This window comes from Homo sapiens, chromosome 6, assembly GCF_000001405.40.
Source record: "Homo sapiens chromosome 6, GRCh38.p14 Primary Assembly".
In the NCBI taxonomy this organism is placed as follows: Eukaryota; Metazoa; Chordata; class Mammalia; order Primates; family Hominidae; genus Homo; species Homo sapiens.
In genome coordinates, this window is record NC_000006.12 from 92,711,219 (window position 1) to 92,725,976 (window position 14,758).

At 37.0% G+C, this 14,758-nt stretch overlaps 1 long non-coding RNA gene across 1 annotated transcript in view; it reads right to left on the reverse strand.

Moving 5' to 3' along the window:
- The window catches only part of LINC02531 (long intergenic non-protein coding RNA 2531), a 138,833-nt gene extending 126,225 nt beyond the window's left edge, over positions 1 to 12,608 (reverse strand). The window contains exon 1 of the long non-coding RNA NR_189297.1: positions 12,104 to 12,608. This is a non-coding gene — a long non-coding RNA (long intergenic non-protein coding RNA 2531). The remainder of the gene's footprint in view (positions 1 to 12,103) is intronic.
- Positions 12,609 to 14,758: the final 2,150 nt, after the last annotated feature.

Sequence of the window (14,758 nt, forward strand, 5' to 3'; positions counted from 1 at the left end):
GTGTGTGTGTGTGTGCAGGTAGCCGTGAGGGATTGGCTCCAGAAACCCCGACTCCCAGTACAAGTTGCAGATGCTGAAGTCCCTCATATAAATGGCATAGTATTTGCACATAGCCTATGTACAAACACCCATGCATTTTAAATCACCACTAGATTACTTATAACACCTAATACAAATGTAAATGCTATTAAAATCATTGTTATACTGTATTATTTGAGGAACATTAATGAGAAAAAAGTCTGTTTTTTTAATATGGTCCTCCATATCCATAGGTTCTGCCTCTTCAGATTCAACCAATCATGGATTTCTTTTGCAAATACAAAGCATGACTGTACATATATACTATTGGTAATGTTTCTCTGGAAACTCTGACTAATACACATATTTTATATTCTCAGTTAATTATAATCACCAGAATGCCTCAGTTGCAGTCCTGGAGACCTGCTTATGTAAAGTTAGTCATTCTATTTCTGTACATAATATTAGTAATAATAGGTACTATGTTTCCCAATCAATGGAGATAATAAAAATAAGTTCCTAACATCAATGAATTATTGTAAAGATAAATGAGAAAACATTAGATATTTGTTCTGAAGTCTCCTGGGGAAAATGATTCTACATAAATAGAAAGTATTATCCCATTATTCAAATAATATAAATGATTTAATACTTCATACCAAATAAAAATCAAGTGTCTCCATAGTATTACTGTGAAACTGCATTGGTAGGAAAAGCAAGCTTTGAACTTGAATATCCTGAATTTTCTACTTGTAATATTTAGATGACTTTAAGGAATGTGACTTAGGATATTTATTATTTTTACTGTGAATCTTAATGAGATAAATATTCTAGGCATGGTTGCTCAAACATATTAATATAATCCCACATTTTGGGAGGCCAAAGCAGGAGGATTGCTTTAAGCCAAGAGCCTGGGCAACACAGCCAGACCCCATCTCTAAAAAAAAAAAATAGCTGGGAATAGTGGTGTGCATATGTAGTCCAAGCTACTTGGGAGGCTAAAGCAGGAAGATCACTTGAGCCCAAGAGATTGAGGCTACAGTAAGCTATGTTCACACCACTGCACTCTAGCTGAGATAACAGAATGATATCCTTTCTCTAAAATATTAAAAATGAAAAATAATAAATTTTTTGAAATATGTAAAATAGTGAAGGCAAAATGGTGGCTAAACATGTTAATTAAGGGAATTTAAAATTGGGATAAGTTACTAACTTAATAATGATGAGCAACTATTGTTCCCTATGTACTTAGAGGACAGAAATAAATTCTTTTTTTTTTCAGAAGTAGAATTTATTTATTTGTTATTTATTTGTTTCTTTTTTTTAATTTTATTATTATTATACTTTAAGTTTTAGGGTACATTCTACACTGTTGATTAACTCACATCAGTATCAGGACTATTTTTTTTTCCAGAAAATGAGTGTTAGTCATCCAATAAATCATGTTCTCATCCACATATACTTCTTTTATTGTAGATATTTAACAGAACCACTAAAAGTTACTTATGCTTATAAGCCAATAATAGGTTGCAAATAAAGTTACACATAAACATCAACTTAGTGAAAGGATATAAAAGAATTTACTTATGTAGAAACAATATAATATAATAAAAAATAACATGTTTCCATTCTCCTGACAGTTGTAGGATAAACAAAATAGAAAAGACACATTCAGCACATTTTTATTTTATTAGAAAGTTGAAATGGCAAATTTCTAATAGTATAATGTCTGCCAACAAAATGTTTTCATTATCTGGCCAGGGTAGAAAAAAGAAAATAAAAATTTAAAGTACATAGTTACATAAATGACTATAGTATCAAAGATGGCCTCAGTTATTTTTTTCTCAAAGCAAAAGGATACTGGAGAAATACTGCATCCCTACTATTAATAGAATGCACAAGGGGAATTATAATTGACAAATCAGGGGTGGATGTGACAGGTAATCTACAATTATTTTGGACTAAAATGTCAACGTGAAAAATAGATTATTCTGAAATGAAATTAATATTCAATATTTGGTACTAAAGAAATAAACATAAGTGACATTTCAATGATGAAATAAAGTGCCTTAAAAAAAAGGGATCATGAAGAGTACTGGGTAAAACCTTAGTTGCAAAAGAGCACAACTAGGGGGAATAGATGGTGATGTTGGAAATGGTCTGTCCCCTCTATGATAGAGTGATCTGACAGATGGGCCACGTGAAGCCAAGAGAATTAAAGAGGGAAATTACATTTATGCCAAACCCATCTTCAACGTTGTCAATATGGACACTAAAATCACCTAAGATTAATAGGCTGTGTGATTCCAGAGAGAGTTGAGAAAGAAAATCTATAAATTCATTAAGAAAACCTGTGGTTTTTCCAAGAGGTTTACAAATTAAATGTTGCTAAAGTTTTATGCTAAGAGCAGATAGATACCTAGAAAGATACAAAATTGAGATGTTTTGATTTTGTAGCAGAATACATTTTTTAAACATTCAGCTCTAACTTTCTCAGACTAAAACAAATTTTCACTATATAAGTTAGGGATATAACAAGATTTATAAGTCCCAAATAAGATTCTAATTTCATAGTAGCCTTATTATCCAAGTTAATTTAAGCATTTTTAGAAAGTTGAATTTACCACTGACTCTGCAGTGTTGGTGGTAATTATTCATCGTTACAGTATTTTATTATACTACATTATAAGGAACTCAATCAAAAATATACAAGTCAATATACAGAAATTCTTAGAATTTATGGATTTACACATTTGGGGATGTACTCTAACGTACAAATATATCAAAAAATATCAAATAAAGTAATTCTATGTGAGCCGAGATCACGCCACTGCACTCCAGCCTGGGCAACAGAGCGAGACTCCGTCTCGAAAAAAAAAAAAAAAAGTAATTCTGTATTTCAGGAAATGGCTTATCTCTTTTTTTCTGCTAATGCATTTAGAAATACCATTTCTGTATCCCTAATTTTCTTTAGCAACAATATTATTCTGATCAGAAGTAACACAGAAAATGGTTAATTCTAAACACATAATTACAGATTTTTAAAAACTGAGGTGCAACTACATAAAGTAAATTTACTCAAATTCTCACCGATTTTTAGTACATAACCTGTTCAGGATTAGATTCCAAATCATGGAATTTCATCACAGTTTCTTTAGTTTTAAAAATGCTGTCACTTCACAAATTTAGGAGAAATCTGCTTCACTTCAAATGTAGACCATGTGCTTAGTAGCTGTGTAACAATGAGTGAAGCACTTTACTTCTCTGACCCTGAAACTTTTATCTGTAAAATGAGAATGATTATAGTACATAATCCAGATGGTTATTGTAGAAAGCACTTCAGCAAAGCACTGAACAGCATGCCTGGTACATGCTAAGTGCTGATTTCTTATTAGGCATGGTCATCATCATTAATATCATCAACTTCTCCTGGCAAATGGTCACACAACCAATACTTGTTGATTGCTGGGTGATAATTAGGGAAGTCATTTTAGAGCATGCAAAAAGGGGAGGGGTTTTAAAAAAATCCACATATAATTGAATAAAATCCGCTAGCCTTTTGAAGAAAAATCCCCTAGCTAATTTACTTTCATAAAACATTATTTTCCTATTTTTAAATCTTTCCAGAAAAGCTTATTTTTATTTATTTAAATATGTGACTTTAACTGCAGTTTCTGATGGTTTATATTCATTTATTTCTTCGCTGAATTTTGTATCCAAAGTTTCAACCAAGTTAGTGAAGTAAAAAAAAAAATTAGCCATTCAGAAATTTACCTCAGAGGAAGACTCCCTGCACCCTCTCTATACATATTCCATGATGCAAGGTAATCTGTACTAACATCAGCACTGTTACATCTTACCCCAAAATAGGGCAAAGACTTTTTGCATTAGTTATTTTAAAGAAACATAGTCACGTATTTCTGTATTTATTTTCAGAATTACCCTTACTCATTTTATTTTCCTCCATGACAAAACAGAATATAAAGCTATAGAATACAGACATTCCAGCTTAAAGGGAGAGTTAAGTTTACAATTAAAATATTTAAAAATACACAAAAGATGTATTCTTCTCTTTATTCTATTTATCTTTCTCTTCCTACTTCTTTATCTACTTTTTTTTCATTTTATTAACGTCTTTCTCATTCTTTTGATAGAGCTAATGTAAACTGTGGAAACTTCCCATGGTAACTGTCTTGAGTTTGTAATCTAAAAACGTGTTTTCTATTCTCTTTCAGTCGTTTGAGGCTTTAAAAGCTCTGGTTCAAAATACATAGACGACCAACTACCATCATCTCTTTCTAAGCATTGACCAAGATGACTTGTAATTTCAATTATTTCAAGTTGTTGGTTCTTCCTACACAAGGAAATTGTGTGTGTGTGTGTGTATATATATATATATATATACACACACACAGAGCATTTCCATATATATATATATATATATATATATGAAACAGAAATTTCTGTGTAACTAGTCTCAATAATTTTTTAATCTAGAAAGAGTATATATGAAGGAGTAGGGCCATATTTGTACCCTTCCTCCAACAATTAAACAATTAAAATATAAGGAATTTCATGGAATTCTAAAAATAAACCCTAGTATTGTTGCCCAATGCTACAAATCCATATAAAATACTTTTGAGATTGTCTGTAGAGTTAATACATTTACTTTTCTAAATTTTGAAAGAATTGTAGTTCCTCTGAGAAAATATAAATAATGCCAACAAAAATTGTTCAAAAATCAGCTTTCAGAAAGTTCTGGTTTTAGATATACCTCAAAAAATAAACTAATCAAAAGGCATGTGAATTTTTTTCTTTCAAAAATTGCTATTATTTCAAACTTGCTTCCTTTCTTCCATGTTGCAGTCTACCAGAGCTCAGCTGGAGACTAAGTTAGAGTATTCAGAGATTTTGTCTCTTCTGGCAGTGTCCCAAGCAGTTATTTACAGAGAGCATGCCTTGGGCAGTAGTAGATGGAGACTCTTTCACAAACTCTCATTCCAGATTACAGTACTTCCTAGTAATTCTGAATTCCTTGTAAAATGCAAATAACTCCTGAATGGGTCACTTATTTTGTGTTTTTACCCATACATCCTGGTGTGAAAATGGACTTGCTTGTTTTTATATTCTTTTACAAATACAGGTTCAAGGTGGAGATAAGGAGATTGTCTCCATGGCAAGTAAAAGAGGAAGCAGAGGCAAGGCCCGTGTCGTGCATATACATACACACACAAAGAGGCCAATTTTGTTACATTAATTTCAACTCAGCCAATATTAGTCAATTGATTTTGTAGGAATAGCCACACCACCATTCCCAGACAAGTTAAAAAGAGTGTGAATTTAGTCACAAAGAGAATCAAATGTAGACTCCCAGGAAAACTCATGAAGTCTACTGGAGTACCAATATCAAGGAAGTATGTGAGGTCAATAACTCTATATTTGGAAAAACACATTTTTAATATAAAAAACTAGCATAAAATTGAAGACCCTGGAAACAGGTTTCCCTTACAGAGGAACTCGGTTTCAGGAGGAGAAACACTGTGCAGAAAAAGACTCCTTGTTAAGATACTGGAGTTCCAGTCCTGGCTCTGTCCCAGGTCTGTCACTCACCAGCCACGTAATGTGGGGCCAGCAAATTATCATCTCCAGACTTGGCTGCCTCATCTGCAAATTAGGGGATGAAGCTGACGCTCTGCGACATCTAATAGCCTATGGGATATTTATGGAAAGAGAAAACCAGGAACTCTGAGTTGGTAGTTATATCTGCAAGCTTCTGAATATGATAAAAGAGACCACAAGAATAACTCTTTGAATATAATGTTCTAATAATAATATTAATATTAAATAATATATAAACATGAATGAATAATAAAGATAAACATAAACATTGCCACATTTGAAATAGAAAATGTGGATAGTCCATTTAAAAAAACCATGGACACAGATTTAAACTCTAAAATAATTTTAAGAACAAAGAGATCTTACTTTTCTGAATCTGGGTCTTACTATACTGTTCCAAGGAGTTGGTGGCACTGAAAGAAGCAACCAATGACTTAATACACACTAAATATGTTTTCTTAAATATGCTATGAACTTTTATACATGTGTTTTAGGAAAACACCTTTCTGGGGTCTTGCTTCTAATTGTCATTGAAGTAAATAAATATACCACAAGACCAACTATTCTTACCTCATGTAAGATCAGTATGGCAAAGTGCAAAGAAATTTCTCACCGTTTAGTCTAGATTCATAATTTAACGAAAGCTTTAAAATTTTTTAAAGTTCACAGAAGACTTTAAAAATTCTTAAACATCATAAATTAAACAAAAACCACTGAATTCCAATCTATGTGGGAGATATTGCTAAACTTCAGTTCTAACCCTGAGTAATTTCACTGAGGTATCACCTTTTTCTTTGCATAGAAACGCTACTCAGGTAGCATAGAGTCGTAACATTTTAGCCACTTTACAAAAAGTACCTGTACATTATAAAAATTGTGTTTGGTCATACAAGTCACAAAGTTCACAAACTTTCTAAGACAACTGGAAAACCAATAAATATTACCATACAAATTCATCATGGCATTGATTAAACATTCATTTCTCTCTTTATTAAAATCAAGGTTTCTCAAAACCAAACTATGAAAAATAAATACATATTTATTTCATTTATTTATTTTTTTTTTGGAAATGATCTCACTCTGTTGCCCAGGCTGGAGTGCGAGATCATGGCTCACTGCAGCCTCCACATCTGCAGGCTCATGTGATCCTCCCACATCTGTCTCCTGAGTAGCTGGGACTACAGGTGTGCACCACCACACCTGGCTAATTTTTTTCAATTTTTTTATTCATAGAGACAGGGTTTCACCATTTTGACCAGGCTGGTCTTGAACTCCAGGGCTCAAGTGATCTACTCGCCTTGGACCCTCAAAGTGCTGGGATTGTAAGAGTGAGCCACACACCTGGCCAAAATTCCTATTTTTAAAAAATAAAATGCTACAATTTATGTTTGCGCTTGAAAACCCATACTATACTATAGTCATGCTATTTCAATAGCACCTTTGCTTGAGCATAAATTATCAACATGCAATAACAGACGCATATTTCAAAACTTGAAAAGAACTTTGCCTTCATCTCCTTTGTAGTTTACAGTCATTGCCATTGGCATTTTAAAATAATGAATGCTTATAATCACGGTTTTAACACAGAATACAATTTTTGGAAGATATCAGATGTTCGAACAGCAGCATACTAGTTGTGGGCTTATAGCTTTTAAGAATAAATTATGCTGCATGTGTTTTGAGAATGTAAAGGTTCATTAAAAAAAACAGTCACAGTTGGCCGGGCGCGGTGGCTCACGCCTGTAATCCCAGCACTTTGGGAGGCCGAGGTAGGCAGATCACGAGGTCAGGAGATCGAGACCATCCTGGCTAACACGGTGTGAAAGCCTGTCTCTACTAAAAAAATACAAAAAATTAGCCAGGCGTGGTGGCAGGCGCCTGTAGTCCCAGATACCCAGGAGGCTGAGGCAGGAGAATGGCATGAACCTGGGAGGCGGAGCTTGCAGTGAGCCGAGATTGCGCCACTGCACTCCAGCCTGGGAGACAAGAGCTAGACTCTGTCTCAAAAAAAAAAAAAAACTCAGAGTTTGTGCAGCTGACCTCAGGCCCAACTAACTTATAAGAAAGCAATAACATTTATTTTAGCTAAACAATTAGGTACTTGCCTAGTAAAACCTTTTAAAGTAATTACAAAATACATACTATCTTTTAGTTCCACCATCACCAAAGCATCAATACTATTAATGTAACATGGAAATGGTATGCATACAAACTAAAAATGAGAGAGTAAGAAAACAAAGCTGGAACATTGGAACTTTGAGAGAACAAGCATATAAGGAAAGTGTAAACAAACTTTAGGAAATAATATCACAAATTATGGGAAGGGGGGTGTTTAAAGTCAGTATGTTCTATCAATTCTTAATTTTATTTAGTTAATATAGACATAAAACAAACATTTGGTTTTTGGAATTCCCTAATTATGTTTTAAATTATATATTTTAAGAACTTTTAAACATTGAATCCCTTAGAGCAATAGTAAATATTTTTAAACCCCAAGAAAATATCTCAGACCTCAGCATCTGGTAAGATGCAATAATATACATTTGTTTATTATTCATTTAAAATGAAATTTGCTGGTTTCATTTGATTTTCTTCTGGAAAGATTAAACTACTACATATATTTAGACAGATATCTTGAATCCCACATTTAGTAATAAGCTGTGTTTTTTTCTCTGCAAAACATCAAAGGCATAAATGAATAATCTGTGATTCTTCTAATAGCATCTCCATTATTAAAATAAGTTGCCAAAAATTGTTATTGAATTCAGTTTAACATTTACTTTAAAAAGTAAAGTTGAGCCTGACAGACATGAGGATTTTAGGAATATTTTGCCATCTAATTTGAAAAACAAACAAAAATTTTCTCCAATAGTTTGAAAACAGAAAGATCTTACACATTAACAATTGAGGCTAGTTTCTCAATACCATCTAGACTTAGAGAAACATCAGCAGAACTGATACTATTAGGGAAAATAACCCAATTTGGAGAATGCTGAGTAATAACACTCTACAATCTGCTTGATAGATATGAATTGGATGAGAGTAAAATATGAAATAGTGTGTCATCCAGTGCCCTCAACTTCTCTCGTCCACTTCTGATAATCAGTTAATCAGAGTTCATCCCACTTGTCAAAATACCTCAGCATTAAGATGACAAATGATGGAAGTAGAAACAGAGACAATGATAGGAGACGATGAATGCACTGAGAGCAGCTGAGAGGGCGCTAATATCTCATAAGAGAGAGAACAAGAAGGGCTAAACAGAGAGAACTGACAGAACTCCAAGCAGTAATTTCCTTGTTGTTGATTTTTGTTTTGTTTTGTTTTTAAACATAGCAGATAAATTGCAATGAAAGGGAGTGGCAGGCTGCTGCCCTGTTAGGGAACCAGTGAATGCAACAAATGTTAGATTTACACAGATTTCTTAAGAGGGGCCCAAGTGAGGTCGTGACATACAACAGGAGAGCTTGTTAAAGCTCACACCTATACAGTGTGCAAAGTCATGAATAGGATAAGTTTTAATTTTTTGAAGTGTATTATCCAATTATCTTCTCCAAAGCATTCCCCTCAGTTTTCATCTCCTTAAGAAGGCACTGCCTTTAAAACACATTACAAGAAAAATATCCAGAATCTGCAAGGAACTTAAACAAATTTACAAGAAAAAATCAAACAACCCCATCAAAAAGTGGGCAAAGGATATGAACAGACACTTCTCAAAGGAAGATATTTATGTGGCCAAAAACATATGAAAAAAAGCTCATTATGACCGGTCATTAGAGAAATGCAAATCAAAACCACAATGAGATACCATCTCACACCAGTTAGAATGGCGATCATTAAAAAGTCAGGAAACAACAGATGCTGGAGAGGATGTAGAGAAATAGGAATGCTTTTACACTGTTGGTGGGAGTGTAAATTAGTTCAACCATTGTGGAAAACAGTGTGACGATTCCTCAAGAATCTAGAACCAGAGACACCATTTGACACAGCAATCCCATTACTGGGTATATACCCAAAGGATTATATCATTCTACTATAAAGACACATGCACACATATGTTTACTGCAGCACTACTCACAATAGCAAAGACTCAGAACCAACCCAAATGCCCATCAGTGACAGACTGGATAAAGAAAACATGGCACATATACACCATGGAATACTATGCAGCCATAAAAAAGGATGAGTTCGTGTCCTTTTCAGGGACATGTATGAAGCTGGAAACCATCATTCTCAGAAAACTAACAAAGGAACAGAAAACCAAACACTGCATGTTCTCACTCATTAATGGGAAGTGAACAATGATAACACATGGACAAAGGGAGGGGAACACCACATATCAGGGCCTGTTGGGGAGTGAGGCTAGGGGAGGGATAGCATTAGGAAAGATACCTAATGTAGATGACGGGTTGTTGGGTGCAGCAAACTACCATGGCATGTGTATACCTATGTAACAAACCTGCACGTTCTGCACATGTATCCCAGAATTTAAAGTATAACTTTTTAAAAAGTATCTTTCATTCAGAAAAGATTTTGTTTTGTTTTGTTTCCAGGGTAGCAATTCTAATTTATTTTCTTGTCCATAAAGGAAAACCCAAAAAGAACTGGACTTGAGAGAATTTTCCTTCATAATTTCAAACTATTTGCATGAACTTTCGGTTCATCCCCCTTCCTTCATTTCTCTTTGACTATCAATAGTGTCTAGTATTATGATTATTCTTAAATTAATATTTCGTCTTTTTGATTAACACAATAAAACAGTAAGGCTTTCTGACTTGGAACTCTTCACAAAAGAATACCACCAGAAGAAAGAAAATGTAATTGGCTAAATGGAAAGTACTCACTTGAAAGCCAGTGAAAGCACACTGTAGCCATATCTTCAGGTGTACTTTTATTCATTTTCTTTATATTTACCTATCAATCATGTTATATTTTCTTTCCTCCATTTCAAAAGACTTTCTGAAATCCACTATGGATACCACTGCTTCCATGTTAGGTACTGATGCAGATGGCAGTTCAAGAGTAGTTGGCTTAATTTTTGATTATGTACTTTTAAATTTATACTCAGATTCAAATTCAGATGAAGCCAATAGTCATAAAAATCTGACGGAAGGAAGCCTGGAAAGTACCTAGTTATCAGGGATTTTAACATGATATACTGTATATGAAAGCTCTTGATAGTCTTATATTTTTCCTTTTCATGCACAATAATAATACCTGACAAAATTTAGACTGGCACAAGTATATTGTCTGTCAAAGATGCTTCAGGATTTATTTGGCTCTTAGTCAACTCACATTACTACAAGCTCTTTGATACACAGAGCACAAAACAGCTTAACATTGTTGCTATTAGTGCTCAAACCACACTGAAAACACTTCATTAAACAGCCTACTGCAGTGTAATTGTTTAATAATATTTTGATTAGGTTGTTTAGCAGACAATCTATGCTGTAAAACATTTTCTTGCTGTCAAGTGAATCACTGGTAAAAAGGCTACTGCAAAATACTTAAGAGAATCTCTTAAGAAAGAAATCATAGTGGGGAAAAAAGAAACACCTAAGTCATTCTATTCTTATTACCTACTGTATTAGTTTCCTATAGCTGCTGTAACAAATTACTTCAAATTTAGTGGCTTAAAACTACACATATTATCTTACAGTTCTGGAAATCAGAAGTCTGACATGGGTCTCACTGAGCTAAACTTAGGGTTTGCAGTGCTGCATTCCTTTCTGAAGAAGAATCCATTTCCTTGTACTTCCTTGCTTCCAAAGGCTTCGCCCATTTCTTGACTCAGGGTTCACTTCCTCCATCTTTCAACCCAGTAATGGACAGTGGGATGTTTCTCACATTGCAAAACTGACACTTGACTCTCTTGCCTCCCTCCTCCATTTGTAAGAACCCTTTAGCCCACCCAAATAAGCAACAATAATCTTATTTTAAGGTCATCAGATTGCTAACCTTGATTTCCCCTTGTCATGTAACACATGTATTTACAGATTCCAGGTATTGAAACAATTATATCTTTGGGGAGGCCTTTGTTCTGCCTGCCACAACCACCATATGGCTTCATGAAAGTTAACTCAATTTTCACACAGAAACACGTTGCTTTGGGAGAGTGAAGTGGTTAGTTTAAGGGGAGTGTTGTACCTTGTACATCTGTTCCTTGGTCACCCCCATTTTAGCACAGAATCTGATTTCCAGGGTTAATGTCAAGGCTGTAGTCGTTCTGAACCTTTCGATTAAAAAATGCTTATTAGATTCTTAACATGTGAAAGATAGTAGTCTGTTAGCTATCATTATAATGGTGACTACTCACAAGAAGAAAAAAGGGGATCTCATTCCCCTTTGATATTCTCTCTACTAAATACAAATACAATGTGGCTCTGAAGAATACAGACATAGACTTACACGGTTTTCAACAGCTCTGCTTTCGTAACAATTATAATTTTCAAACTTTTTCACTTACTCTTGAGAGGTGACAACGTGCTGGCGGCCCTCGCTCCTTCTCAGCGCCTCCTCGGCCTCGGCGTCCGCTCTGGTCAGGCTTGAGGAGCCCTTCAGCCCGCCGCTGCACTGTGGGACGCCCCTCTCTGGGCTGGCCAAGGTTGGAGCTGGCCCCCTCTGCTTACGTGGAGGTGTGGAGGCAGAGACGCAGGCGGGAACTGGGGCTGCGCGCAGCGTTCGCGGGCCAGCGTGAGTTCCGGGTGGGCGTGGGGCTCCGCGCCCCGCACTCACTCGGAGCCGCCCTCCGTCGCCGCCAGCCCCGGGCAGTGAGGGGCTTAGCACCCAGGCCAGCAGCTGCGGAGGGGGCGCCCGGTCCCCCAGCACTGCCGTCCCTCGTGCGCAGTGCTCGAATTCTCGCTGGGCCTCAGCCGCCTCCCCATGGGGTAGGGCTGGGACCTGCAGCCCGCCATGCTCCAGCTCCCCCAAGATGGGCTCCTGCGCGCCTCCCTGAAGGGCACCGCCCCTGTGCCGCAGCAACCGGTCCCATCCGCCTAAGGGCTGAGGAGTGCATGCGCATGGCGCGGGACTGGCAGGCAGCTCCACCCCTGGGCGCGGCATCCACTAGGCGAAGCCAGCTGGGCTCCTGAGTCCAGGTGGGGACTTGGGGAACTTTTATGTCTAGCTGAAGGATTGTAAATGCACCAATCAGCACTCTGTGTCTAGCTTGGGGTTTGTAAATGCACCAATCAGTGCTCTGTGTCTAGCTAATCCGGTGGGGACTTAGAGAACTTTTATGTCTAGCTAGAGGATTGTAAATGCACCCATCAGCACCCTGTGTCTAGCTCAAGGTTTGTAAATATACCAATCAGTGCTCTGTGTCTAGCTAATCTAGTGGGGACTTGGAGAACATTTACGTCTAGCTAAGGGATTATAAATACACCAATCAGCACTCTGTGTCTAGCTCAAGGTTTGTAAATGCACCAATCAGCACCCTGTGTCTAGCTCAATGTTTGTAAATGCACCAATCAGTGCTCTGTGTCTAGTTAATCTAGTAGGGACTTGGAGAACTTTTACTTCTAGCTAAAGGATTGTAAATACACCAATCAGTGCTCTGTGTCTAGCTCAGGGATTGTAAACGCACCAATCAGCACCCTGTCAAAACAGACCAATCAGCTCTCTGTGAAATGGACCAATCAGCTCTCTGTAAAGTGGGCCAATCAGCAGGATGTGGATGGGGTCAGATAAGGGAATAAAGGCGGGCTGCCCAAGCCAGCACTGGCAACCTGCCGCGTCGCCTTCCACAGCGTGGAAGCTTTGTTCTTTTGCTCTTTGCAATAAATCTTGCTGCTGCTCACCCTTTGGGTTTGCACTGCTTTTATGAGCTGTAACACTCACCGCAAAGGTCTGCAGCTTCACTCCTGAGGCCAGCGAGACCATGAACCCACAGGGAGGAATGAACAACTCTGGAGGGGAGAAACAAACAACTCCACACGTGCTGCCTTAGGAGCTGTAACACTCACCGCAAAGGTCTGCAGCTTCACTCCTGAAGCCAGCGAGACCACAAACCCACCAGAAGGAAGCAACTCCGAACATCAGAAGGAACAAAGTCCGGACACAACATCTTTAAGAACTGTAACACTCACCACGAGGGTCCGCAGCTTCATTCTTGAAGTCAGTGAGACCAACAACCCACCAATTCCAGACACACTCTGAGTGCTGGCTTCAAAGAGGAGAAAGCTTTAGTGCCATACAAAAGGGTGAGTAGTTTTCATGATGTCAATGCATGTTAACTGAAAATGTCTGCATGACACTTTGCTCAGTAAACAATGGAAATGTTTCCTACTTTTTTGGGATGGTAGGCAAATATATGCCAATTTTTGGAACCCAATAAAATATTTTTGTTTATAGAATCACCAATTTCAGAATAATAAGGTACTTTAAATATCATGTATAAAAATTTCTTAATCTCACCAATTTGTGATCAAACTGGTTTTGAACATTCTCAAGGTAGAGGAAATTGATATTTCTGAAAACTTGTTCCATCTTCCTTGTATCTTCATATTAAAGCCAATTCTTTTTCCTTATAATTTATTTTATTCTGCTTAGTAAAGTTTGACTCTGTAATGAGTATATGGAACAATTCTAATATCTGTTCTGATGACACCCCTAATATATATGTGTGTGTATATATATACATATAAATTTTTTTTTTTGAGTTGGAGTCTTGCTCTGTCACCCAGGCTGGAGTGCAGTGGCGCGATCTCGGCTCACTGCAAGCTCCACCCCTCCGGCTCACTGCAAGCTCCGGCTCACTGCAAGCCCCAGCTCACTGCAAGCTCCACCCCTCCAGTTCACGCCATTCTCCTGCCTCAGCCTCCCAAGTAGCTGGGACTCCAGGCTCCTGCCACCATGCCCAGATAATTTTTTGTATTTTTAGTAGAGACGGGATTTCACCATGTTAGCCAGGATAGTCTCAATCTCCTGACCTCGTGATCCTCCCGCCTCGGCCTCAAAGTGCTGGGATTGCAGGCATGAGCCACTGTGCCCGGTCATAAAAATATTTTTAAAAAGTTAAAATCTATACCCTGGGATAGAATAAACATTCCCAATCCCTATTAAAGCTTGGAGTCTAATTACTTCATCAGCCTGGTCACATATATTTGAATACGGTTCAGTT